Source organism: Homo sapiens, chromosome 13 (genome assembly GCF_000001405.40).
Source record: "Homo sapiens chromosome 13, GRCh38.p14 Primary Assembly".
Classification (NCBI taxonomy): Eukaryota; Metazoa; Chordata; class Mammalia; order Primates; family Hominidae; genus Homo; species Homo sapiens.
The window spans coordinates 110,128,835-110,156,800 of record NC_000013.11 but is presented as its reverse complement, the minus strand read 5'-3'; the positions used below and the strand labels follow the sequence as shown (position 1 = coordinate 110,156,800).

General features: G+C 43.6%; 1 protein-coding gene, 2 long non-coding RNA genes and 1 pseudogene across 4 annotated transcripts in view, besides 5 other annotated features; all 4 read left to right on the top strand.

The window, feature by feature from the left end:
- Positions 1 to 7,838, top strand: part of COL4A1 (collagen type IV alpha 1 chain) — a 158,195-nt gene extending 150,357 nt beyond the window's left edge. The window contains exons 50-52 of the mRNA NM_001845.6: positions 1,404 to 1,518; positions 4,295 to 4,467; positions 6,357 to 7,838. Coding sequence (NP_001836.3) covers positions 1,404 to 1,518; positions 4,295 to 4,467; positions 6,357 to 6,438 — 370 coding nt within the window. The 3' untranslated portion in view covers positions 6,439 to 7,838. The remainder of the gene's footprint in view (positions 1 to 1,403; positions 1,519 to 4,294; positions 4,468 to 6,356) is intronic.
- Positions 1,006 to 1,637: an enhancer, noted in NCBI's record as "NANOG-H3K4me1 hESC enhancer chr13:110807511-110808142 (GRCh37/hg19 assembly coordinates)". NCBI's record gives its function as "activates a minimal SCP1, AML or CMV promoter by ChIP-STARR-seq in primed H9 embryonic stem cells {active_cell/tissue: H9 hESC(primed)}" and the evidence as "EXISTENCE:reporter gene assay evidence [ECO:0000049][PMID:30033119]".
- Positions 1,638 to 2,269: an enhancer, noted in NCBI's record as "NANOG-H3K4me1 hESC enhancer chr13:110806879-110807510 (GRCh37/hg19 assembly coordinates)". NCBI's record gives its function as "activates a minimal SCP1, AML or CMV promoter by ChIP-STARR-seq in primed H9 embryonic stem cells {active_cell/tissue: H9 hESC(primed)}" and the evidence as "EXISTENCE:reporter gene assay evidence [ECO:0000049][PMID:30033119]".
- Positions 18,187 to 24,839, top strand: LOC101927712 (uncharacterized). The gene is made up of 3 exons (XR_931726.3): positions 18,187 to 18,665; positions 23,601 to 23,711; positions 24,211 to 24,839. It is a non-coding gene; the product is annotated as an uncharacterized LOC101927712 (long non-coding RNA).
- Positions 18,213 to 18,292: a silencer, noted in NCBI's record as "silent region_5500". NCBI's record gives its function as "represses an Ori minimal core promoter by ATAC-STARR-seq in GM12878 lymphoblastoid cells {active_cell/tissue: GM12878}" and the evidence as "EXISTENCE:reporter gene assay evidence [ECO:0000049][PMID:35858748]".
- Positions 19,221 to 19,835: an enhancer, noted in NCBI's record as "H3K27ac-H3K4me1 hESC enhancer chr13:110789313-110789927 (GRCh37/hg19 assembly coordinates)". NCBI's record gives its function as "activates a minimal SCP1, AML or CMV promoter by ChIP-STARR-seq in naive H9 embryonic stem cells {active_cell/tissue: H9 hESC(naive)}" and the evidence as "EXISTENCE:reporter gene assay evidence [ECO:0000049][PMID:30033119]".
- Positions 19,836 to 20,450: an enhancer, noted in NCBI's record as "H3K27ac-H3K4me1 hESC enhancer chr13:110788698-110789312 (GRCh37/hg19 assembly coordinates)". NCBI's record gives its function as "activates a minimal SCP1, AML or CMV promoter by ChIP-STARR-seq in naive H9 embryonic stem cells {active_cell/tissue: H9 hESC(naive)}" and the evidence as "EXISTENCE:reporter gene assay evidence [ECO:0000049][PMID:30033119]".
- On the top strand, positions 22,449 to 22,562 carry LOC124903272 (uncharacterized; annotated as a pseudogene).
- Positions 24,840 to 27,664: 2,825 nt separating the features above from the next.
- The window catches only part of LINC03082 (long intergenic non-protein coding RNA 3082), a 145,761-nt gene continuing 145,459 nt past the window's right edge, over positions 27,665 to 27,966 (top strand). For both annotated transcript variants that reach the window (NR_187461.1, NR_187462.1), the window contains exon 1: positions 27,665 to 27,944. This is a non-coding gene — a long non-coding RNA (long intergenic non-protein coding RNA 3082). The remainder of the gene's footprint in view (positions 27,945 to 27,966) is intronic.

Sequence of the window (27,966 nt, the reverse complement as noted above, 5' to 3'; positions counted from 1 at the left end):
AATGTCCCAGTATAACTAGGTGTAATTATTGACACCATTTATAGTCATTTATCAGCATTGTTAACACTCTGTTCATTTTGTGACTTGAATGTAATTATTCACTGTTGACGTTTAATTTTTTTTTAAACAAAGCATTATCCCACCATCAAGGGTTCCCTTCATTGAGAGGGTCTTAGTCAGAACACTGTGCTGTTTTAATGTGTTTCTGGTGCAGTCCCAAGGCTGAGCTGAATCAGCCTGGCTTGGGAGGCATCCTGTCCTTGGGAGGGTCCTCTGGAGGTCACTTCAGCGGCAGTGGATGCTGACAGCCTTGGACCTTGGACATCTGAGCCAAGAGGGCAGACCAAAAAGACAAGTTTCCCGCAGGAGGCCCATGTGGACATTCAGCCTTAAGTTCATTAAAGCATGCATTATTTGTCTTAGTTACTCAACTCACTAAGTGCATTTCTTATACTAAAGATTATTAGTAGCTTCAAACTGTTGCATTCCAGAAGGAGTAGCTCTTGGATTTCACCAGCATTTTTTCTGAAGCATTTATTGTGCTTGTGGAAATACGTATGCATTGTTGAAAGATTGGAAAACACTCAAATGCCCAAAGAAGAAAAGTTGCCTGTAACCCCAGCCCCTCCAGGAGAGCCACTGTTAGAGCTTTGCCTTCCTATTTTCCCCTTCTACAAGACAGACAGTTAAATAACTCGTGTTGGATCTATTTTTTAAACAATATTTTAGGGGCAGGTCTCGCTATGTTGCCCAGGCCGTAGAGCAGTGGCCCACAGGCAGGCCGAGCATAGCTCCCTGCAGCCTTGAACTCCTGGCCTCAGGCAGTCCTGCCTCAGCCTCCCCAGTAGCCAGGACTACAGGCCTGTGTCCTGCTCTAATTTTTTTTTTGAGACGGAGTTTCACTCTTGTTGCCCAGGCTGGAGTGCATTGACACAATCTCGGCTCACTGCAACCTCCGCCTCCCAGGTTCAAGTGATTCTCCTGCCTCAGCCTCCCGAGTAGCTGGGATTACAGGCATGTGCCACCACACCCAGCTAATTTTTTGTATTTTTAGTAGAGACAGCGTTTCTCCATGTTGGTCAGGCTGGACTTGAACTCCTGACCTCAGGTGATCCACCCGCCTCGGCCTCCCAAAGTGCTGGGATTATAGACATGAGCCACCGCCCCCAGCCATCCTGCTCTATTTTTGAATTGAATGTTTTAATACTGAGACAGGCTTATAAAACCAACGGGGAGGTACTAAACCTCAGAGTCTAAGCAATGGGCACAATGTTTTCTACTTAATATGTAATTGGACCAGAAAGACTGAGTGAGGATGTTGAGTGTAGGTAACGGGGCAGTGCATGGAGGGCGGCCTCTGCCCTGCACCCCGGCTGTGCTGAGTGTCTCTGCTCCACTTCCAGGTGTGCTGTGTGTGAGGCGCCTGCCATGGTGATGGCCGTGCACAGCCAGACCATTCAGATCCCACCGTGCCCCAGCGGGTGGTCCTCGCTGTGGATCGGCTACTCTTTTGTGATGGTAAGTGTCTGGGGAGACGCCATATTTCCCGGGAAGAGCCCCACTCACGCCCCATAGTCGCCTCTGTCTGGTGCCTCCACACCTTGGAGTTCTCTGCATCTCGCTGCTTAAGCCCCTCCTTCTTCCTCCAACCATCCCCTTCCAAAGCATGCCTCAAAGCCTGGCCTGCCCTGCCTGGTGACAGCAGGGGTCTCCAGCACCAGCCAGAACCCTCCCCTGCTCACAGCCAAGGTAGCTGGGATGAGCATCTTCCTGGAAATGCAGGCCCAGGCCTCTGCTTCCCTGTGGCTGCTCCACTCAGGTGCTCTACGGGTCTGTTCCAGCACCAGCAATATGAACAGCTTCTCTATACAACCAGCTTCTCCATACAACCAGCTTCCCTATATGAGCAGCTTCTTCATATGACCAGCTTCTCCATATGACTAGCTTCTCTGTATGACCAGCTTGTTCATATGACCAGTTTCTCTATATGACCAGCTTCCATCTTTGAGCAGCTTCTCTATATGACCAGCTTCTCCATATGACTAGCTTCTCTGTATGACCAGCTTCTCCATATGACTAGCTTCTCTGTATGACCAGCTTCTCCATATGACTAGCTTCTCTGTATGACCAGCTTCTCTCTATGAGCAGCTTCTGTATATGACCGGTTTCTCTATATGAGCAGCTTCTCCATGTGACCAACTTCTCTATATGACCAGCCTCTTTACATGGAGTGGAGGCCTCTTTCAGGGAAAGGAGGAAGAGAGCCTCCACGTGGGGAGTACACATTCTACTACAACATGCACGAGCTTGAAAGCAGAAGCTTGAGTTAGGGAGAGAACACCCGAGGGCTGGCCGTGGCCTCCACGAAGGCCCTCCTGGGGCAGTGCCGCCTGGGACCCTTCCCAGAGGGCAAGGACTGCTCTCCTAGCCCCAGGGCTTCCCTTTCCCACAAAAGCCAACTGAAACAGAAAACAAGGCCCCTGTTTGATACACTCATTGTAGCTTATTTTATTCTATTACCCCAGTTGGCAGTATTGATTGAATATATACAAGCCGTGAACTTGTAAGATCAGAGTTATCCCGGAATTTGCCAATTCCCAGTAAATGACCCTACACATACATCTGCACCATCATTGGAAGTCCTAGTCCCATCTTCACACTGTCAGGAATGGGCAAGTTGTACATTTGACCCACAGATGAACATTATTTATTATCTGATTGACAGGCTTCATAGCTATTTTCTTCTGTAAATTATTCCAATTGTAGAAAAAATTGGCGGGAAAGCATTTTTTTAATGTTTGAGTGAGGACGCTGAGGGTAGATAACAAGGTAACTCACGGATGGTGTGGCGTCTGCCCTGCGCCCCAGCCGTGTGGAGGGTCTCTGTTCCACCTTCCAGACGTGCTGTGTGCGAGGCGCCCACCATTGCCATTTCCTTCTACTGGTTTTTTCTTGTGCTTTTCTACACATTTTTCCAAGTGTAGAAAAAGTTGGCAGGAAAGCAATTTTTAAAATGTTCGTGCACGTGTACAAGTTTGATTGTATGATTTGCTGGGTTGATTGTACTGCAGCTACACTCTTCATGTTGCAACCACCAGATTAACAGGTTGTTGCAATAATTCGAAGTGCTGCATTGTAACTACTTTATCGAGAGAGCCAGAAAGGTTGAAAATGCTGTATAGAGAAATCAGGACACTAACAATGATGTAAGCTTGCCATGTTCATTAAAAGGTAGATTGGATTCGCCACTCCATAATCATAAGAAATACTGAGTGGAATCTCTGTGTGTCAGAGAAAGCCCACAGTTGCATTGAGGACCCACAGGAAAGCTGTTGTCACCACCAACCCTTGTCCGGGTGTCAAAAGGCCTGAAACAGTGATTGCCCATAATTTGTCTAAATCAGGAGCAAACGAAAATAGTGACGTTCTAGAGAACAGTGTCTTCCAGCACCTCCTCTGAGTTCTCAGGACGGTGGCTCTGATCTGGAGGTCTGGAGACCCCGTCCTTGCCTCTGCTCCGCCTTGAAGCTATGTGATCCTGGTCAGATCCGAGAATGTCCTCAGCTGGGAATCAGTGGAGTTAGCCTTGTCCTCAAAGGTCCCTTGTGTCTCCAAAATTCTAGAGTTCACATTTCCTATATCTGAAATAATAGTCACGGGGCTCTGTTGTAATGTCTTAGTCAAGTTTGTATGTCATTCATTTTAAGGTCTTGATTTCTGAGTACAGGAAGGTCCTACTTAAACCTGCTAGACCAAAATGCAATTTGATATAGTAGTAGCTATTTTTTTCTCTTTCTCTTGTTTTTCTCTCTTTTTAAAGAAAAAAAATTGAATGATTATTCTTTACCTTATTATAAGATAAATAGCATCTAATATAGCAAATACAGGAATGCATTTGTAAAGTCTGATTCCACATCAGTTGTTTACAACATTATTTGAACATTTTGGCTATTGTCTCATGACCCATGTTAGAATGGGTTGGAGTGTTTCAAATCTAATACACAGTGAGCTCTTCTTTAAACTCTAATGAAGCTGGGCTGGTCACCTATTTGGGAAGCAGCCATTAGACGATCCCTGGGGCCATGCTGAGCACCATGGGGCCCCAGCCATGCAGGCACTGGCTTGCGGGCCAGCCCGATAATTTGGGCACAGAGTGTGTCCTGTGGTGACCACATGAGGCTGCAGTGTGTGGCTTTCCAGAGGGAACACCCTGGCGCCTTCCTGGGAAGGATCGATCTCTTTCCTGGTGTTTGGGGAGGGAACCTCTGACTCACGGCTCGCATCTGTTCTGCAGCACACCAGCGCTGGTGCAGAAGGCTCTGGCCAAGCCCTGGCGTCCCCCGGCTCCTGCCTGGAGGAGTTTAGAAGTGCGCCATTCATCGAGTGTCACGGCCGTGGGACCTGCAATTACTACGCAAACGCTTACAGCTTTTGGCTCGCCACCATAGAGAGGAGCGAGATGTTCAAGTAAGTGGGAGCACTGCTTTTTTGCAGGCTGCTGGCCCCTTTGTGACTTTATTTTTTAATCATCCGCGATCCGTAACACCTTCCAATGCAAAGTCTCAAAGATGGTTAGCAATGAATATTTGATGCTGTTCGACATGGGCAGATGACCGAGACGATTTTCAAAGGCAGACCTTCAGTCACAGGTTTAATTTTTTCATTTACCGAAGAACCATGAAAGAAAAAGGTCATTTTCCATTTTTTCTAGGTGAGTGTACTAAAATGTAATTAAAGCAACTGAAATCTCCAAACAGAGCATGTTTGAAATACAGTATATTTAACAATCCCGGGGAGAAGAAGTGAGCAGCGTTCATTTTCATGCCATTCATAACACTGATCGTAATGTACACTTTGTGTAAGTTCTGAGTGACTTCACAAGGTATTTTTTTAGACCTGTGCAAATAAAAATTAATTTCAGCACAAATTCAGCTGAAACTGAGAGGGAAGACCCTTCCTTCCTTTTCCATTACCAAAATCTCACCTTTAAAATGACTGGCCCAAGTGGCTACTAACCTTGCTGGAGTTGACTGGGAGCCGGGCCGGTCCCCGAAGGCCAGGAACGCATAATGAACCCTCTATCCCGAGCCCCAGCTGCAGCCCCGCTGGAGCCAATGCAGGAGGCTGACGGAGCTGGCACAGCTGCTTACTGTTCATTTCCAAAACAAGCGCTTCTCACCCCTGGAGATGAGCCTTTCCATCTTCACCTTTTTGGAGAGAATTATATGGAACCCTGCTATGATCCTGTCTCTTTCCAGCTTAGATAGTAAGAGGCAGAACAACATACACGCTTCTCTAATTCGTTACTCATCCAAAAAGTGCCGCGTGCCTAACTGGTGGTTTATTGGAGCCTTTCAAGGAACTGGAAACTTGACATCCATGCTGCAGATAGAGTTTAACCATTCACTACCAAAATGAGCGCACTTTGTTCATGCCTCAGCCCTTGCGGTGTCCTCTTATAAGGTTGATAGGTAATGATGGGTTTTTTTTTTTTAACCAGCAGCCTGATACAATAAACTAAAATGTTTTCCCAAAGCAAATTAGGTAAGATCCCATTAATTTAAATAATAAACTTGAGGGTACTAGAATTTGCACCAAAAGTTAATAAAATAAGCAGCCTCAATTTTAGGATGAGGCACTCTCATAAATGGCTATTTTAATTTAGTTTAATTAATTTATTTATTTTAATAGAATTTTCTCAGTAACAATTTTAGTTCAGATTTTACCTTTTCAACAATCAAAATAATGTAGAGTTTCTAAGCTTGAGAAACACTTGGGACATTGAATGTCTTTCCCTCTTTTTGGTCTCAAAGCAGACCATCTGCATAGAAATCCTTCAAAAGTTATAAAAGTATTTCGAGGTCTAGGGAATTACTCCAGATTTATTACTCATCACATCATTCCACAAATATTTAATGAATACTTACTGTGTGTGTAAAGTGTTGCAGAGAAGAATAATATCTTCTTCTTACCCTGGAGGAGTTTATGATCTAGTGGAGGAGAATGGAAAAAAAGTGAAATTGTAGTACGAGGAGGCAGGGTGGCACAGAGGGGAATGGCCAAGGCTTCGGAGCCAGACTGATGTGGCGGGACTTCAGCTGTGCCCTATGGGGCTGTGGGCACTGGGGCAGGTGCCAGGGCCTGGGTGTGCAGCTGGTAACCTGCAGTGTTCTGTGTGCGTGGGACCGTGTGTGCACTGCACCCAGCACCTGCCTGCTCACTGGGTGGTACCAGGTTGAGGCCTGATGCCAGGGGCTGGGCTGATCCCTTAGAGATTTCCGAGCAGGGCAGGAGTGCCATGTTTCTGACGTGCTGTGAGATGATGGCCAATGGTCTGTCTCTGTGTCGTGTTTTAGGAAGCCTACGCCGTCCACCTTGAAGGCAGGGGAGCTGCGCACGCACGTCAGCCGCTGCCAAGTCTGTATGAGAAGAACATAATGAAGCCTGACTCAGCTAATGTCACAACATGGTGCTACTTCTTCTTCTTTTTGTTAACAGCAACGAACCCTAGAAATATATCCTGTGTACCTCACTGTCCAATATGAAAACCGTAAAGTGCCTTATAGGAATTTGCGTAACTAACACACCCTGCTTCATTGACCTCTACTTGCTGAAGGAGAAAAAGACAGCGATAAGCTTTCAATAGTGGCATACCAAATGGCACTTTTGATGAAATAAAATATCAATATTTTCTGCAATCCAATGCACTGATGTGTGAAGTGAGAACTCCATCAGAAAACCAAAGGGTGCTAGGAGGTGTGGGTGCCTTCCATACTGTTTGCCCATTTTCATTCTTGTATTATAATTAATTTTCTACCCCCAGAGATAAATGTTTGTTTATATCACTGTCTAGCTGTTTCAAAATTTAGGTCCCTTGGTCTGTACAAATAATAGCAATGTAAAAATGGTTTTTTGAACCTCCAAATGGAATTACAGACTCAGTAGCCATATCTTCCAACCCCCCAGTATAAATTTCTGTCTTTCTGCTATGTGTGGTACTTTGCAGCTGCTTTTGCAGAAATCACAATTTTCCTGTGGAATAAAGATGGTCCAAAAATAGTCAAAAATTAAATATATATATATATTAGTAATTTATATAGATGTCAGCAATTAGGCAGATCAAGGTTTAGTTTAACTTCCACTGTTAAAATAAAGCTTACATAGTTTTCTTCCTTTGAAAGACTGTGCTGTCCTTTAACATAGGTTTTTAAAGACTAGGATATTGAATGTGAAACATCCGTTTTCATTGTTCACTTCTAAACCAAAAATTATGTGTTGCCAAAACCAAACCCAGGTTCATGAATATGGTGTCTATTATAGTGAAACATGTACTTTGAGCTTATTGTTTTTATTCTGTATTAAATATTTTCAGGGTTTTAAACACTAATCACAAACTGAATGACTTGACTTCAAAAGCAACAACCTTAAAGGCCGTCATTTCATTAGTATTCCTCATTCTGCATCCTGGCTTGAAAAACAGCTCTGTTGAATCACAGTATCAGTATTTTCACACGTAAGCACATTCGGGCCATTTCCGTGGTTTCTCATGAGCTGTGTTCACAGACCTCAGCAGGGCATCGCATGGACCGCAGGAGGGCAGATTCGGACCACTAGGCCTGAAATGACATTTCACTAAAAGTCTCCAAAACATTTCTAAGACTACTAAGGCCTTTTATGTAATTTCTTTAAATGTGTATTTCTTAAGAATTCAAATTTGTAATAAAACTATTTGTATAAAAATTAAGCTTTTATTAATTTGTTGCTAGTATTGCCACAGACGCATTAAAAGAAACTTACTGCACAAGCTGCTAATAAATTTGTAAGCTTTGCATACCTTAGATTATTTTTATTTTGCACTTCTTCCAAATGAGAGTCACAGACTGGGGGTGATTTATAGTGACTACAACAAGGAAAAAAAGATTGGTGTTCTCCATCTCTTCCTCTTTCGTCGCCTCCTCACTCCCTCCTTTGCATCCTTCCCTCTGTCCCCCCAGAGAGCTGTCATCTATCTCTCCATCCTTCCATTCATTCACTCTACAAATGCCACTTCCCAGGCATTGGTTAAGTAGAAGATAAACAGCGATGAATAGCACACATATATAGCCATTAAGTGTGAATCCACTGGGGGTTAGAGCTGAGATTTTAGTTATATTAGGAGTGGAGTAGAGGGCTGGATTCCAAGTATTACTTGATATAGGAAAAAAAAATAGATGGCTGATTTCTTTTCCCTAATGACTTAAGCTTCAGTCTGAGCTGGATCAGAATATAGTCCACGGAGAATGAGTGAGTTACTGAATACTCAGAAAAAAGCTCTCAATACGATGATGCTCTCAGTTAACTCACCCACCAGAGCCATTGTGAAGACGAAGGACAGAATGTGAACACGCAGCACAGTGCTCCAGGCAGGCCATGCGGCAGGGACCCGATTCGCCACCTTTTCACCACTTTTGACAAAACCATTGAAAAGCGTTCTTTTGCTCTCCTTAGTATATAGAAGGGTAGAGAAGAAAATTAAAATCATTAGACTTAGTTTCTACTGAAGTTACTGAGAGGTATTAAGAGCCACTTCAGAGCATTTCGTACATGTACATATATTTTGTGTACAAAATTTTGTACACATATATACATATATATGTATAAAGTTCATTTATCATGTTTATTATATACAATTTAGTATCCCTAGGAAAGTACAAAGAAGATAATATAACACTGTGGATCCCAACATTCAAATCCCATGCATCTTATACCAGTTATTCTGAAAGCAGTTTTTATGTTTTTTAAATTAACTTACAGTAAAACTGACTTATTTGGATGTACATTTCTATGAATTGTGAACTTATAAATAGGTTCACATACCCATAACCAAATCAGCACGCAGAACAGTTTCATCACCTAAAAACCTTCAAACCTGTACTATGTATAACACGCCCAGGCACCCTAACCTGGTCTTCAACCATGGAACTCTCCCCCATCATAGATCATCTATTCAGGAATGGAATAATAGACTTGAAACTGTCTTCTTTCACTCAGCATAATGTATTTGACATTCCTCCAAGTCGTTATGTGTATCAATAGTTCGTTCCTTTTTATTGCTGAGCGGGATGGCATTTTATAGACATACCACCCTTCACTTATCTATTCACCTGTTGAAGGATATTTGGTTGTTTCTGGGTTTTGGTGGTTATAAATAGGAATAAACATTCACATTCAGGTTTGCATGTGAATGTAAGTCTTCATTACTTCATTACTTTAGGATAAATGCCCAGTACTAAGACAGCTGTGCCATAGGGGAAGTGTGTGTTTAATGTTCTAAGGAGCTGCCAAACCATCTTCCAGGATGGCTGCACCATGCTGCCTTCCACCAGCAACCAATGGGAGCCCCAGTGGCTCCACATCCCCTCCAGTATTTGACTTTGCCAGCAATTGTTCTGTGTGTGCGTGGTCTTCTCACAAGTATGTAGTGGCATTAACTATGGTTAATTTGCATTTCTCTAATGGTTAATGATGTTGAACAGTTTTTGGCTGCCTGTATATCTTGTATATCCTTTTTTTAAAGTGTTTGTTAAGCCTTTGCTCAGTCTTTTTAAAACCTTTATTTTATTTTATTTTATTTTTAGATGGGGTCTTACTCTGTTGCCCAGGCTGGACTGCAGTGGCCTAATCTCGGCTGGCTGTTAACCTCCACCTCCTGGGCTCAAGTGGTCCTCCCACCTCAGCCTTCTGAGTAGCTGGGACTGCAGGTGTGTGCCACTCACCCAGCTAATTTTTTTTGTATTTTTGTAAAGACTGGGTTTCACCATGTTGTCTAGGCTGGCCTCAAACTCCTAGACTCAGGTGATCTGCCCACCTCGGCCTCCCAAAGTGCTGGGATTACAGGCGTGAGCCATCGTATCCAGCCCCTTTGCTCAGGTTTTCAGTTGGGTTGCTCGTTTTCATACTGCTGCATTCTGAAAGTTTTTCGCATATTCTGGTTACAAGTCCATTTTTGGATAAGTGATTTGCAAATTCATCCACTTAATGATGTCTTTCACAGAGCTAAACTTTTTTGCTTTTTAAAATTTCAGCTTTTATTTTAGATACAGTGGTGTATATGCAGGATTGTTATGCAGGTGTATAGTACCAGGTGGCGAGCGTGGTACCCAGTAGGTAGCTTTTCAACCCAGGCCCCGTCCTCCCTCCCCGCTCTAGTATTCTGCAGTGTTGATTGTTCCCATGTTTATGTCCATGAATAGAGCTAAACTTTTTAATTTTGATGATATCCAATTTATCAATTTTTGTTTTCTTCCATTGGACATGCTTTTGCTATTATGGTTAAGAACCTGTTGATATACCCTCGCTCACGAATATTTTCTCTTGCATTTTCTTCTCAAAGTTTTATGGTTTTACTTACTACATTTCGATTTGTAATCATTTTTTAATTGATGAAATTCACATAACGTAAAATTCACCATGTTAAGGTGAACAATTCAGTGGCATGTAGTACATTCACAATGCTGTGCCACCGCCTGCGTCTAGTTCTAAGCCACCTGCTTCTAGTACTAAACCAGCTTCATCTAGCACTAAACCACCTGAATCTAGCACTAAACCACCTACATCTAGTTGTAAACCAGCTGCATCTAGCTCTAAACCACCTGCATCTAGTTCTAAATCAGATGCATCTAGTACTAAACCGTCTGCATGTAGTTCTAAATCAGCTGCACCTACTTCTAAACCACCTGCATCTAGTTCTAAATCAGCTGCACCTACTTCTAAACCACCTGCACCTACTTCTAAACTACCTTCATCTAGTTCTAAACCAGCTGCATCTAGTATTAAACCACCTGCATCTAGTTCTAAACCATCCGCATTCAGTTCTAAATCAGTTGCATCTCATACTAAACCACCTCCATCTAGTACTAAACCACCTGCATCTAGTACTAAACCACTTGTATCTAGTACTAAACCACTTGTATCTAGTACTAAACCACTTGTATCTAGTACTAAACCACTTGTGTCTAGTTCCAAAACTAGTTCTATCACACCAAAGCCCCATGCCCATTCAGAAGTCACACCCCATTCCCTCCCTACCCCTCCGTCCCTGATAAACACCTGTCTGCTTTCTGCCTCTATACATTTGCCTACTTTGGATATTTCATACAGTGCATGACTTTCGTGTGTGCTTTCTTTCACTTAGCATGACCTTCTCAAGGTTATCCACATTGTGGCATGCCAGTACTTCGATCACTTTTATGGCTGTATAACTTCCGTCATGTAAATATGCTACATTTTCTGTATCGACTCACCCATTCATGAACATGTGGACTATCTTGATGTTTGGCTACTGTGAATAGTGTTGCTGTGCACATGCATTTGTTTGAGCTCCTGTTTTCTTTTCTTTTTCTTTTTCTTTCTTTCTTTTTTTTTTTTTTTTTTTTTTTTTTTGAGAAACAGTCTTGCTGTGTTGCCCAGGCTGGAGTGCAGTGAGTGGTGTGATCTCAGCTCACTGCAAGCTCTGCCTTCTGGGTTCAGGCCATTCTCCTGCCTCAGCCTCCCAAGTAGCTGGGACTACAGGTGCCCGCCACCATGCCCGGCTAATTTTTCGTATTTTTAGTAGAGACGGGGTTTCACCATGTTAGCCAGGATGGTCTCGATCTCCTGACCTCGTGATCCACCCACCTCAATTCTTTAGGGTATCCACCTAGGAATGGAATTGCTGAGTCTGTGTTTAACTTTTTGAGGAACTGCCAAACTCTTTTCCACAGAGGCTGAACTGTTTTACACTCCCACCAACAGTGCTGTGGGCTCCAATTCCTCTATGTCCTTGTCCACACTTACGATTTTCCAATTTTTGATTATAACCATCTTAGTGGGTATGAAGGGGTCACGGTTTGGTTTGCATTTTCCTAATTGTTCATGATGCTGTGCATCTTTTCAATGTGCTTCTTGGCCATTTATATATTGAGTAGACATTTGAAATGTTTACTCAATTTCTTTTCCATTTTAAATTAGGTTGTTTGTCTTTTTGTTATTTATTTACTTTTGAGACAGGTTCTCACTCTTTCACCCAGGCTGGAGTGCAATGGCACAATCATGGCTCACTGCAGCCTCAACCTCCCAGGTTCCAGTGATCCTCCCACCTCAACCTCCTGAATAGCTAGGACTGTAGGGATGCGCCACCACACTCAGCTAATTTCTCTAATTTTTTTTAGAGATGGGGTCTCACTATGCTGCCAGGAATGGTCTCAAACTCCTGGGCTTAAGCGATCCTCCTGCCTGGGCCTCCCAAACTATTGGGATTACAGTTGTGCACCACCGTGCCTGACCCGTCTTTTTGTTGTTTACTTGTAAACATTCCTCATATATTCTGAATAGTAGACCCTTATCAGATATATGATTTGCAAATATATTTTCTATTATGAAGATTGTCTTTTTACTTTTTTAATAATGTACGTTAGTGCACAAAGGTTTTTAATGTTGATGAAGTACAATTTATCTATTTTTCATATGTTGCTCATGCCTTTAGTGTCATATCTAAGAATCCATTGCCAGATCCAAGGTCATGAATATTTACTCCTATGTTTTCCTCTGTCTATTTCTTCCTTTTCTTATTTCAGCCCTCCTACACACACACCTCTTTTTCTTTTTCTTGCCTCTTTGTACTCTCCAGAATTTTAAGTACAATGTTAAATAGGAGTGGTGAATATGGGCATTCTTCCCTTGTGCTTGATCTGAAGAAAAAAGCATTTAGTCTTTCATCATTAAATATGATGTTAACTATAGGGTTTAAAAAAAAAACCAGATACCTTTATCCCTGTAAGTATCATGAGTGGATATCAAATGTTGTTGAATGCCTTTTCTGCATCAACGGCAATCCCATATGCAATCCCCTATGATATGATTATATGGCCTTTCTTCTTCAGCTTGTTGAAACAGTGGATAATAGTGATTGATAATCAAAGATCAGACCAGTTTTATATTTCTGGGATAAAGCCCACTTGGTCATGATATGTTATTCTTTTTATATATTGAGCATTTGATTTGCTAGTACTTACTAGAGTTCCTTGTGTCTGTGTTAGTGAGGAAAATTGCTTTTAACTTTATTTTCTTATATTACCTTTGGCTTTTCTATCAAATAATGCCATTTGCAAAAAAAAAGAAAAATGAGCCAGGAAATGTTCCCATCTCTTCTGTTTTCTGGAAGACATTATGTAGAGTTGTTTTTTTGTTTGTTTGTTTTGTTTTTTAGATATTTAATAGAATTTGTCAATAAAACCGTTTGGTCCTGCAAATTTCCTTTCTTGGTAGGTTTTGAACTATAAATTTAAGTTACAAATAGTTATAGGACTATTCAGGATATCTATTTCATCTTGGATGAGTTAGATAACTTTTTCTTTCAAGGATTAGTTCATAGTAAGTTGTCAAATTTGTGTGTGTAGAGTTATTCCTAGTATTCTATTATCTCCATGTCTGTGAAGCCTGTAGCAGCATTTATTATTTCTTTCCTGATATTGAACATTTTCATCTTCCATCTTTTTCTTTGTCAAATTCTTTAGAAGTTTGTCAATATTATTGATCTTTTCAGAGAACCAGCTTTTGGATTTATTGATTTTTTTCTATTTTTTCTGCCTTCAATTTCATCAATTTTTTCTCTTATCTTTATTATTTCCTTTCATGTTCTTATTTTGTGTTTATTTTGCTCTTCTTTTTCTAGTTTCTTAAGGTGTAAGCATACATGATTAATTTGAGACTTTTTTCTTTTTAAGCATAAGCATTTGATGCTATATATTTCCCTCTAAGCACTGATTTACCTGCATCCCATGAATTGTGTTATGTTGTATTTTCATTTACATTCAATTCAACATAAGTTTTAATTTCTTTGATACTTCCTATGATCCATGGCTTATTTGGAAGTATGTAGCTTAGTTTCCAAATGTTTGTAGATTTTTCTGTTATATTTCTGTTTTTGATATCTGGTTTAATTTCATTATGAACACAGCACATACTACATATGCTTTCAATAATTGTGCATTTGTTAAAGTTTCTTTTATTCTTTCTTGGTGAGTGTTCCATGTACAATTGAAAAGAATATGTATTCTATTAGTGTTGGATAGATTGTTATATAAATGTAGTTTATGATCCACTTGGTTGATGGTATTGTTCAGTTCTTTTATATCCCTGTGATTTTCTGTCTATAGTTCTGTCATTTATCGAGAGATGAATGTTGAAGTTTCCAGTGTGTTTTATGGATTTCTAAATTTCTTCTTTCAATTGGAACAGTTTGCTTTTTCTATTTTTAAGTTCCATTATTAGGGGTGCACACCGTTAGTATTGTTCTGACTTCTTGGTGAGTCAACTCTTTTACCATTATACTACCTGCCTTTTTATGTCTGGGAATTAGTTTTTGCTCCAAATCTACTTTGTCTGATATTAATATAGCCACTCCATCTTTCTTTTGATTGGCATTTGCTTGATAAGTCTTCTCTATTTTGTTATTTGTATCCTATCCATATTCTTATATTTGAAGCAAGGTTCTTTCTGACAGCATATAGTTGGGTCATATTTTTCAAATCTGTTCTGGCATCTTTGTATTTTAATTAGTGTGTTTAGACTGGGCTTGTGTTTAAAGCAATTATTGGTATGTTTGGATTTAAGTCTAGCTTTTTATTATTGATTTTCTATATGCTACTGTTGATTTTCTCTTTTTCTGCCTTTTTTGTTATTTACACATTTTCTAGTTTGCTATTTTAGCTTACTTGTGTTGTTTCCTACATTGATATATTTTTAAAACCCAAGAGAAGAAAAGTGTTTCATATTTACCCAGCTATTTCCAATTTATATTTTACTTTCTTTATTCTTGATATTTCAAAGTATCTTTTAATATCATTTTTCTTATGTTTAAATAACTTCCCTTAACAATTCTTTTAGAGAAATGTATACTCTTTTAGTTTTTCTTCACTTGAAAAATGTCTTTATTTCACCTGTTCTGGGTATTTTTTTCTTCATTTGAAAAATGTCTTTATTTCACCTGTACTGGGTATTTTTTTCCACTGGACATAGAATTCTAATAGTTCTTCGCCTTCAACAATTTAAATCTGTTGTTTACTTTCTTTCCTTCTGGCCTCTATTTAGTGTCTGATAATAAACCCTGAATCATTCAAATCGGTGTTCCCCTCTAAGTAATGTGCTGTCTCTGGCTACTTTTAGGATTTCTCATTCTGTCTAATTTTCCGACATCTAATTATGACATGTCTGTGTGTGGATTGGGTTCTTTAGCTTTGTGAGTCTGTAGATGTATGCCTTTCTCTTATGGAAAAATGTTGGTGTTTGGGGGTCTTTGCAGGCCAATGACTGGGTCAGGTTCCAGGCTGCAAGCTTCAATTCACCTTCTATAGGTAGAACTGTTTTTGCGGTACTATTCAGATCTGTCCTGCATGCGTGCCCACCAACGGCCTGTCTGGGTGTGGGCAGTGTGGGCAGTTTTCAGTTTGGTAGCTGTTTAGAGTCAGATCCATGCACGCGCACATCAAAGATGAGTCCAGGAGTCCATGAACAATTTTACTGGATCTCCTTCCCTCATTCCACCGTCCCACTGAACTCCCCATTACTTTTCAGAGCCTAACATTCCTCTTGTTGACTCCTTGTTTCTAAAATTGTGTCTTTACTTACTCTGCACATAATTTCTGTGGCTGCAGCCATATCTGGGCTAAACAGCAGGAGAACTGGAGAAAAAATATGGTAAAATTGTCCTGCTTTGGTGGCACATCTAAATCTGGTTTTCTTCCCCAGTCTGTCTGCTACCGTTCACTGACAGAGTCCTCTAATAGCTGCTCCATGCACTCAGCAGGAGAGACAGGCTGGGGTGGCCTGCTAAACTTTACCTGGGACTGGCACCAGCCACAATACAGAGTACTTGTTTTGATGGTTTTAAGTATGATGGTGATAAATGGAAGAGAATGAAACGGTTCAACTTTGGTCATTTAAAAAATCTTTTCACTCTCTTTTCTAAAGCTTGAACATACCATAGTCTACCAATTTAGTTAACCATCATTCATGGGCTTTTCGATTTTAATGGCTGTATGCTGGCTCTTTCCATGCACTTTTTCACTCTAGCTTACTGGACTTTAAATTACATGCATTAGCTTGTACTCATTAGGGGTACCATCGCTTTTACACCAGAATTCTTAAAGCCTAAGACTCAGTGCACCCATCCTGTATCTGAACCCAAGAGTCATTTTGTCGTCCTCATGAAACTAGACAAATCTGAGTTCAGATGCTGACTCTGCCACTTACAAACTTGTGACCTTGGGTAAGATATAAAACCTCTCAGAGATCTGCACAAATTAGGTCATTTTTACTTGTAATTCTTCCAAATCAGAATCATAGACTGAGAAGGATTTACAAAAAAAGAGAAAACCTGTTTGGCTGTATCACTTATCATCCTTTTACTCATTCTCTGCTTCCTTCCATCTGTTCCTTCCATCTACTCATCCATCCATCCATCCATCCATCATCCATCCACCATCCATCCATCCATACATACATTCATCTGTTCATCCATCCATCTATTCATCCATCTGTTCATCCATCCATCCATCCACTGATCCATCTCTTCATCATTCATATTCTGCGTGCTTATTATTTCCCAAGTACTAGGTTAGGTACAGGATAAATGGAAATCGATAATGTCGTCCTTAAGAAGTGTTGTGCAAAAAAAAAAAAATAATAATTGTGGAAGAAACCTGTAATTTGTCAGGTTAAGGAATTAAAAAGGAGTTATGCAATAGATAGGGTGAGGTTGAGGGTTGGATTACAAATGGAATAAAGGTTGCCCACATCTGAGTGTTGCCTGGAAGATTAAATGAGAAATATGCAAGACGAAGTGCACACGGCATCTCTTCCTTCATCCAGGCCCCGAGTGAGGTCCAGGGATGCAATGTCACGGCATAGCCCCTGCCTCAGGAGACTTTATACCAATGTGGATTGTTTCTGCATTCTCCTTTACACGTGTGTCTAAATCATTCTGAGGATAATTTTGTGGTCAACTTCATTTCTACCTGAATGACAAATTCCCTATATTCAATTCCCATGATGCAAAAATAGCATTTAGTTTTATTGGGCCTAAGATGATCTCTCTGCAATATTAAAAGGTGTCCCCTAGAGTAATTTTTAAGTATCTGAGGTTTTGTTAAGATCATTCTTTTCATAATTCATATCTTCTTTAACCTTTGTTATTCCAGATTTAAGAGATGTTTTCAAGTCGTGTTCTCAGAAGCTTCTGATCCTTATCCTTCTGATCATTTGAGTTATACCTGTCTGACTCTACTATGTCTCCCTGCTGCTTTGATAAAAGACAATTTCACATACTGTGGAGGTCATCAGTCAATCTAATGTTTATTAATCATCCCCTCATTTCACATGGCTTTCTCTGGACCCCTTGGGAGGAGACAAGGTAATAAATCCTATCCTCCATCCCAGGTTCATGATCATTTGGATAGACAAGGTATATATAGAGAAAATATTTAATAATTAGAGTCCTGAAGGAGGGACTTTGCAGTGAACTTCAACATCTCAAGCCTCCTTCTTCTCCCACTTCCAAACCACCCTGAATCACGCGGGAGAAGTGAAAATATCTTTTAAAGACATCAAGAGAAAAATATTTCACAAGCCTGTTCGATAACTTTCTGAAAACACTCATTGTTCAGGGTGCTGCTTAAATGATCTTTCTGCTTCTGCCGGTGGCAAGGCCCCTCCAGCTCTGAAAGCATGCAGAGGACAGCCCATTGTTCCCTTAACGCCTGAGCATCAATCACCTGGTCACCCAACACTCAGCCAGCTCTGCGCAGAATGTTTCTAAGTGATTTTGACTGCAAGACTTTTCGCCATTGGGTCCACGTGGGAACCTCTCCCTCTGGCTCTCCTTACACCTCCACATGGGTGGACACATGGCCCCGGCCTCTGGAGGGATGGAGAGGGAGGGTGCTTCTGGAGAGAGGAGATCTGATGGGGCTGGGGTCTCTCCAACCCTGCACGTGGCACCCTGTGAACTCACAGCCTTTCATACCAGCTCCTTCCCTGGTCCTTAGCCCTTTCGTCAGTGCGGTTTAGGGCAATGGTCACCTGAACGTTTGTTTTGACAGTCACAAATTCCCAGAAACAGGGAAACGGAACTCGCTAGCGACGTTGTGTGGATGAGTTTGCTTTAGGCTGGAACAAGCCTTGCCTTTGGGTAACGGGCTTCCGGGTGCGCCCTGGCCGGCTGTGTGCGCGCGGAAGGCGGTCACCTGGGCCCCCTGGGCGCGCGCGCCGCCCGCCCGCCCGCCTGCCCCGCGCGCACCTGCAGGAGGCTCTGGCGCGCTCCCTCCCTCCCTGGCTGCGCTGCGAAGGGCGCGGGAGAGGGGGATTCTAGCAGCGCTGAATCACTTTCCCACAGCCTCTGCGTGGGGAGCGCTTCCTCTGATGCACGCCCTATTTGTACTTCCTGAGTGCGCGTGGACTGCGGGCCCTGCTCGCCGCAGACTTGCCCGAAATAGCAGCGCGCGGGCTCGGCTCCCCGCGCCGCCCGCAGCATCTGCCTCCCCCTCCCGCCTCGTGGGCAACCGGGCGCGGCTGAGTCACGGTGACACTGAGTCACTCGCCAGCGTCAGGAAATGCCTTTTTTAGACTTCCAGTTTGAAATGGAGCAGCAGGTGACTTTTTAAATTCGGTTTTGTGTTTTATCTTCAATTTCCCTGGGGGCAGTTCTTGCTGGTTTCACATTTCCCCACGACTTGCTGCTTGGGGCAAGTTCCGCACCAAATGTACCTAGGCGGAGCTCCGCCTTAAGGGATATTCATTTTTCCGATGTAAATGAGGAAATTCTGCAGACTGGTTTTGAAGCAGTCTTCGCTAGACACTCCATGCAACAGTGTGTATTTGTACGTGGGTGGACGGCTTGCTATCTGTGACGCGTTCCCAGGACAGACTGCAGGTGGCACCAGGGTCCCCTGATTGTGAAGTTCCACCTCTGCAGAATGGCTTAGGTGCAATTTATAGCAGCATTGCCCTTTTTAATTCAGTGTTTAACAAGGTTAACCTGAAGCAGGTTACTAGGTGCTAATTAGGATCTGTGGCCAGGTCAATGCATTTTTTTTTTTTTTTTAAACGGGTAACTAACTGTGTTGGAAAGAAAGTGGATGGAGAATTATTCCAAATATACTAAATGAAGCCTTTCACCAGAGTTTGCAAATATGAATTATAACAGTAAAAATACAATGAGAACTCACATTTTTAAGGAATTACAAATGAGCATCCGTGGCACTGTATGCGTCCTTACTGTCGTTGGGCGGTTTCTTCCTAAAGAAAGAAGCCCTCCTTGGTACTTAAAGAAATTCAACCTCTAGCGCCCTGTGCCTTCCCCCATGTCACTGTTAACAGCTACTGCCACACATGTATCTAGTATAGGAAGGATTGGCAGCCTCACCTTGTTGCATGGAGGGTGAGTGCTCCTGGAACACGTTAAGGAACTGAAGTTGCGAACGTGGTGAGGGGAATTGCCCTCAGAAGCAATACGGCAGGGGAGTCCTGTGAGGGTGGTTTTCTCAGCTTTGCTGGGGTAACAGGACACATTGGCTGGGACTTTCCCCATTGTCCAAATTCCTAATTAGAGCCCCAGCTAAAGCAAAAGAGGCCACAGCGCCGCATATTCTGAAGAGAGCTGCCAGCAGTTGGGGGCAGGGTTCCTGTCCTGCTGAAAGAGCCCAGCTCTGTCAGCCAACCCAGCTCTCTCCAGGCTGCACCCCTCTGGAAGAAGAGAGGAGGAGAGAGTGGGGGAGGAGGCAGGAGACTCCAGTCTGCAGGGGTCCTGTGCTTTCCCCTCTGGGAGGGGACATCTTCCTTGCCAAGTTCCCTGTCTCCACACCCCACGGCCACAGGAACATCTCAGACTTTGCGGGTGTCTCTAGCCCTGGCTGGATTCTGCTCGCACCCCCCACACCCATCTGAGGGGGCAGTTCAGAGCTGGCGGAGCAAGGCACACCCACAGCTTTGTGGGGGCCCGGGGCTGTGAGCTTTGTCTGGGGCCTGTGGGAGAGAGCTTGGCTTGAGCTCTCCTGGCTCTCTCCACAAAGAGTCTTCTCTGGGGAAAGCTATGAGGTATGCTTTGGGGTGTGAAAGGAAAATTAATCTTGGGGCCCCCAAGTCACTAAGCTAATGGGAAAAGTCAGGCTGGGAACTGCTTAGGGCAAACCTGCCTCCCATTTTGGAAAGGCTCATCAGAAACTCAAAAGAGTGTGACCATTTGTCTCTCACCTACCTGTGACCTGGAAGCCCCCTCCCTGCTTCGAGTTGTCCTCCCTTTCTGGATGGAACCAATATTCATCTTACATGTATTGATTGATGTCTTATGTCTCCCCAGCCACCTTGGGCACACACCATCAGGAGCTCCTGAGGCTGTGTCACAGGCGTGCATCCTTAACTCTGGCAAAGTAAAATTCCTAAATTGACTGATACCTTTCTCAGATATTCAGGGTTCACAGGGGGGCAGGGTGTGAAGCGAGAATGGAGAGAGAAGTTTGAGGGCTCTCCAGGGTGGAGGGCCTGGGGAAAACTCATCTGCAGACCCCCTCACCCTCACCCCGAGAATGCCTGGGGACCACAGAAGGCTCAGGGCAGTGTGGGGAGGGCCTTTACTTCCACAGTTCAGCTGTAAAAGGCTGGTCCCTTCTCCCTTGCCCCTGCCTGGTCCCCAGCCGGGAGGAGTAGGATGGGAGGAGGAGGAAGGAGAAAGATGCAAAGAAAGGCTATGCCTGCTTCATGTCCCTCCAGCCCAGAGTTCTTGTTTGTTTGTTTGTTCTGTATGTTGTGGCAATTCAACAGAGCCTATGGAAATCTTTTTAGAAAAAAATGTTTATTTTAAAAAGGCATGTGCTAAAATACGTAGTATTATAAAGAAAACTATATTAAAATGCACTTATCAAAATATTTAAAAAATTATCAACATAGTAATATACATATTTCTTTATTGATACATTAAATAATACTGTCTAGAAGACACATTTTAGAATACTGCTGAGTATAAATAATATTTCATAATACCTGAAATTATTGTAATATGATACCTATTTTTTCTATTGGTGACAATGCCTCAGATACTGTTAATACTATAGTGGTTTGTGGCCTTTAGTCATAATTGAAAGAAATGCTACATTTCAGAAGGTTGGTGAGAGTAAACATGTACTTTATCCCCCATCCAAGTTCATGGATGCTGGACTCCATGGAGCTGAATCTGAGGGTCACTGCGACAAGAATGGGCAGGGCCTGAGGGTAGCACAAGAGGATAGCTTTTATCTAGACTGGACTGGACTGTCCCTAGTCCCTAAAAGGAATCCAAAAGCTCAGGGATCTGTTCAAGTTAGTGTTAAGGGATAGGAACCACCACTTTGCACAGTGCAGTTTGCCCTGAGTGCAGGCAAGTGAGCACTTTCGTCCCCCTCAGATGTCTGTTTCAGTGTATTTAACAGAAACGCATGGGCTTTGAAACTGGACTGCCTGTGTTTGAATTATAAATGAATATGGACAATTATTTACTTACTCTGAACTCAGTTTCATCACTTGTAGAACTTTGTAGGTTGTGGATAAATTAGATGACCTGTGTAATGCGCTTAGAACGGAATGTGGCAAGGGTTTGAATGTGGGCCCCTGGGCAGTGTGACTCCCCCACAGGGTCCTTCCCCCACGTCCTTTCTCAACTCCACGAGGGTCTGTGGGTTAAAGAAGGATCAAAATGAGCCCTGTGGTTTCCCAGCAGATGTGATTGTTCAATTCTCATCATGTTGCCGTTGCTAGCAACCTGGTTATAAATAGAAAGAAACTCATGTCCTCGTTGCTATGTGATCCCCATGGCTCATATGACACAATGTCCCAGGGAAGCCAACCTTCGTCGCTACAAAATAGCTTCCTAAATAGGCCAGCAGGCATTATTAGCATCCTAATAGGTTCTGTTGATGAAGTCATCCTTATCAGGTAGTATTCCAGGGGCTTTGGGTGGCATCATTCAAACACAGTAAGCCCAGCAATGGTCCATTTTAATTATCGCTACGCTGAGCCCTGACTTAGAAATGTTGACTCCTCTGAATGTCCAGCTTTGTAACTTAATATTTGTGAGACAAGGACAATAACGCCTTCATGGCCTTTTAATTTTCCCAATTGTTTTGTATGAATTACATTAAGGAAAGTCTGAAGATACTAAGATTTCCAACTTGCTGCTCTGTGTTTAAGGTATTTATGCAGGAACAAGGTAAACGCAAAAACCAAACACAGGCCACTTTTTAATACTTTGTGTTTTATTTTGTTTTACTTCAGTTATTTAATGATAGATTTCCTTCTTCCACTTTTGTATTCTATTTCCCTCCGTCCTTTCCAAATGGGATAGTTCTGTTTAATTGAACACAATTATATGAAAAACACTTATTACTTTTAAAAAATTAAAAATCATCGCTTCTTAGGCTTTTGGCTAAGATCGAGGGTAATATCTGTTCTTATCAGTTTAAAAAATTAACAAGAAAGTATAAGAGTTATACTTTTATTATAAAAGTATAAGAACATTTTAAGAATTATAAATAAAAAATTAGGCAATTCAAGTAACCGGTTTTTCAATCATATTGAAACTTATTTTCAAAGTAAGACCCATTCTAATAGATCTCCCAAATGAAAATTACAACTTGTGACACATCCCCCAGTGTCCCTGCGCCCTGGCCATCCAGGGAACCTGAAGGGCCCTGTTCTGCTCCTGGGGCTTCACGCACCCTTCCTGACTTTGTGTTAAGCATCTGACCTTTGTGTTGGACTTGATCACGAAGTCAGACATGAGAATAAGTCTCTGTGTCAATTAGCCTTGGTTGAACAACAAGCCAACCCAAACATGACTTAAACCATTTTATCTGCTGACTGTTGCGTAGATGTGCACACGTAATTTGAACTGGGCCCCCCAGGATGGCTCTCTATGGTGCTGGCTCATTCAAGCACCTATCAGTGGATGGTCAATTGCTTCACTTATATCTGGCATTGGCTGGGGGGCCGGAGGCATATCCTGCTCATCGCCCTGCAGCACAGCCTCTTCCTGTGGTGCCACACAGTCAGAGTTCCCAAGAGCAGCAAGAGAGAGGCCTCAGTGCAAAAGCACTTAGCCTCTGCTGATGTCACATGTGCTGATGCTTCCTTGGCCAAAGGAAAGCACATGGCCAAGCCCAGATTCAGGGCTTGGTACCATGAACTCTACCTCTTGAGGTGGGGACAGGGGCCACAAAGTCACATTGCAAAGGGATGCGAATATAGGCGCAGAAATAATATACTGTTTTTCTTTTTATTTGCCATAATATACTTATGTGATATCCTTATCTGCCATAATATCCTTAACATAATGTTAAAGATTGATCATATATTCCTAAGAGAGAAATAGGATCGTATAATTCTAACCTGTCACAATATTATTGACATTTTACTGGACTTTCTAGACATAAAATGAAATTCTAATTCCCAAGAGCTTTTCCCCCAGTATTTAACATTCTTTTCTGGGCTAGATTTTTCGCCGGTCTCCCCTCTCCTTTACTACCAGGTTATTGAAGCTGTTCTTTTAAAACTACAAGGAAGAAGAAACAGAGCGCTCCCGGGAAATGTTGAAAAAGCAGAGCCCCATTCATCACAGCACAGGTTGAAGAGACCAGCTCTCCCCGATATTGGCAGAATTTCCATCACAGGTGAGGGTGTGTGTCCTACAACCCCAGCATTTAACTAAAAAGCAATTCTGTGTATGAGCTTCACGAAAAGGCAGAAATGAAGCAGTGCCCATAGGGTCTCCCTCCCTCGCCCTGCCTTCTCCTTTTAAATGCAGCTCTCTCCTTCCTGGGCCAGGATGATGTGGAACCGTTGCATGCGAGGGTTTCTAAGGGGGCGTTGTGAGGAGTCATCATCAGCAACCAATACTGCCGTTCTCACCAGTGTGAAACAGGCAGCCCCACCCCAGGGGCAGGCCCTCTTCCCCTGTGCCCTGGCCTCCCTGGCTCCAGGCATCCTGACTCCAGCCGAGAGCCCCCACCCTTTGCTGAGCTCTGAGTCCTGTCCAGCTGAGCTCCCTGGGGGCCTGTGAGTTTCTGCCTCTTTTCCTGCAGCCTCCTGTGCACTGGCAGGTGGCATCTCTGCCACTCTCCTTAGAGATGAGCCTACACACTCATTTTCTCTTTTTTTCTCTGGACAAAGGAATAAGCTTTTGAAAAGCAAACTGACAGATGAGAGCAGTGAAATCCACTGAGTGGGCCGTGGAGAACAGCTGTGTTTGAGAGGCATCTCAGCGATGTGAATGAGGCCAGGAGGAGCCATGAAGACGGCACTGCCTGTGGGGCCCCCGATAAATGATGGCACTGAGCAATTGGCAGGACTGTGGGCATGGGAGGGGTCCCTAGGCCCCACCCCCCTCTGCTCCTGTTTGTGTAATTAACAGCCCGCTTCCTATCAGGTGCTCTGCCTTCAGTGCTCTCTGCTGCGGCTCTTACCAGCGAGGACTGGAGGGGCGGCTCCTTTACCTGCCCTGTCCTGGTTTTTGCTCCCGCCTGCCCCGTGAGCCAGGGGATGCACTCACAGCTGCTCTTTTTGATGTATAAAGTGTGTTTGAACATTATGCCAAATATCAAAATGTGAAGGACTAATCCAGGATGCAAAAACGTTATGGGGGGTTGTAAATACGAACTATACAACAGTTTAGGATGCAATTATGAGTGTAAACTGTGTGCCTTATTTATACTTCATTGTCTCCAGCTTCTCAGATAAAGTTTTGATGTGTTGTACAGTGGAATATCTTAGATACTTTTTGGAAAGTTTTTACATAAGTTATATCACAATTAAAATGTTGAATTTCAAAAAAAAAAAGAGGCATTCGTTTGAGATTGCCTGGGGTCCTGTGGTTTGCTGAATAAGACTCAGTGTGGGGAACTGTAGACTCTTCCTGAGAAGCTCAATTCCAAAAGGAAAAGGAAAATGCCGACTGGGATTCCCTGACAGGCATTGGTTAGCTGCTGTCTCTGTCCACTGATAACTGGAGCTTTCAGAAAGGCATCCTCTGCAGCCCAGCATCAGCTTCTCCGCCTGCTGTTCCCTCCGGGAGGCGGCCCGCACCTCAGAAGCAGACACCGTTGTGCCTGGGTCCGGTGGCGTCTGGCCAACAGGGGCTGGATGGGGGGCAACAGCAGCAGGAGGAGGACAGAGGAGGTGTTTACTCAGGGTCTCCTGTTAGGGTGCTGTGGGGTGTTGGGTTTCTCTGCTGGAAGCTGCAGCTCTGGTCACCACCTTCTCAAACTATAGGGCTGCCCACCGGGCATGGTGGCTCACGCCTGCAATCCCAGCACTTTGGGAGGCCGAGGTGGGTGGATCACCTGAGGTCGGGAGTTCGAGACCAGCCTGACCAACCTGGAGAAACCCCATCTCTACTAAAAATACACAATTAGCCGTGTATGGTGACACATGCCTGTAATCCCAGCTACTCGGGAGGCTGAAGCAGGAGAATCGCTTGAACCCGGGAGGTGGAGCCTCCTCCCATCTGCCCCCTCCCTTGGGCTTTCTGGAGGGATGGACAAAGTACAGTATTAAGGCTACTGCTTCTCTCTGTGCAAACAGCCCTCTTCCCATTTTAGGAAGGGAGTTGTCTATGCTGGAGAGACCCCCATGAACCAAGGAGCAGCTCAAAGCGAGCTTCCATGTCCTTCCAGGGGTCTGCGGATCTTCTGCTACTCTTTTAGCATCTCTGCTCTCCTCCCCTTCCCAGGCTCTGATAGAACCCTGAGGGCCTCACTTCCCTTGCTCCTGGACTTGCAACTAGGAATACATTTAAAAAGTCTCCTCCAGAGGAGCACAATTCCAGCTAAGCCGTTTGTTGTTGCTGTGAGCCGAGATCACGCCATTGCACTCCAGCCTGGGCAACAAGACTGAAACTCCACCTCAAACAAAACAAAACAAAACAAAACAAAACAAAACAAAACAAAACACTATGGGGCTGCCCTCCAGGGCCATGGATAAGACTTCTTCCCCCTCTCTGCAGCCCTGAGGCTGGTGACCCCTGGTTTAGTGGACTAAACATTACTGCTTTTCCTAAACTCTGCCCCTATCTTGGTAAAATGTCCCTTCATCCTAAGGTCCTTAATGTCAGCTGTTCGCTGCAGCATCCTGACTAATGCACAGCTGAGAGGCAGTCAGAAGCCAGCAACAATGAGGGTGATTTTAAAAGACCATGACGAATGTGTACACAGAATACTCAGTGGCCCCAATCCCATACAGGTGCTGAAGGTGGGCTACGAACTGCACACTAAGGTTCTGTAGGGAAATGAATTAGGATTGGTGGTAGATTTTCCACTGAATCTTCTTGTAATACAGTTCTCTAAGTGCTTCCCTGTACCCACAGTTCTAAATGATCTTCAGTGGAGCGTATTTGTCTGTGTGTGTGCGTGGGTGCCTTAATACTTCTGGAAGCATCCTCTTAACCCACTGTTTTCATTTATACACATATCACCTGTTTCATGGCTAGGACTTGGTAGGATTAGACATACATGGGCCAAAGGTAACTTCAGTCAGACCCTGTTTAATTATAAAATGGCAGAGTAAAATAGATCTAATATGTCAAGGGACACACCTTAAAGCTTATCCAGCCTGAAGAACATTAATGGTAAGTAGAAACAAGCGAACAAAGAAAACCTTTTGAAGTGGCAACAGAGGGGAGGGGTGGGTGCTGGCTCCTACTGAGTTGAGGACAGAGCCATTCCTCTCACTGATGTGCTTCTTCCCTGGAGGTGAGTGTGGGGTGCATGTGGGTGTGCGTGGGGTGGATCCCATGCTGGTGCCAGGACTGCCAAAGTGTGCGTTGGTGGGAAAGAGAAGGAAGGGAGAGCAGGATCCAGTGTCCATTGTGCTGATTTTTTGTGGACACAGAAATGAGAAGGCAGAGAAGATGTCCAAGTCTTCTGTAGGAGAGCTCACCCTCTCCTGGGTAGTTAAGGTCAACCACACTGCATCCGGATCCTGCCAGGAACTTGGAACGCCCAGAGGGCTGGCAGCGACGCAGTGCTGGACATTCCCACCCCACCCGGGCTGCTGCGCTGGGGGCAGCCGGATCCACAGAGATGCAGAAGATGTTGTGGGAAGAGACCATGGGAGAGCCACAGAAGCAGAAGCGCCTCCCTCCCCACTCCCTGCACACCCACCCCCTAAGCTGGGAGCGCCCAACATGCAGCCAGAAAAAAAAAAATCGTTGAAGGCCGGTTCACATCTACTGCCTAGAGAGCAAATCCTCACTGATGTCAATTTCACGTATATGGAAGTGAATATATTCACTTCCTAGGCTGCTGAAACGAAGTGCCACAAACTGCCTGGCTGAAAATAACAGGAATTTGTGTCTCACCATTCTGGAGGCTGGAATTCTACGATCAAGGTGATGTCAAGGCCAGACTGTCTCTGAGGCTCGGGGTAGAAGCTGTCCTGCCTCTTCCCGGTTTCCGGTGGGGCCAGCGGTGCTCGCGGATGCTCCTGCAGGCTTGTACATGCGTCGTCACAACCTCCGCCTTCAGCCACACCCCGTGTTCTTCTTGTGTGTCTCGGTCTTCACGTGGCGTGCCTCTTTTTTATAAGGACAGTGGTTTTATTGGATGCGGGGCCCACCCCATTCCAATGTGACCTCGTTCTAATTAATTACATCTGCAAGGACCTTATTTCCAAATAAGGTGACATTCTGAGGTCCTGGGGGTTAGGACTTCAACATCATTTTTGGAGAAAACCATTCGACCTTTGACAATGCCCAAGTAAAACGGTTTCATTTTTAGCGAGTGGACGTTCGAGTTCTCTATTTGAGGCATTTTTCTCAAGGATTTCTAACAATAGCTCACGTTATAGGTTGCGTTTATTTTTCACCATAATGATTTTTAAAATGTCAAAGCCTTGGCCCAACGACATGGGTGAGTTTGTTTTTATTGTTAG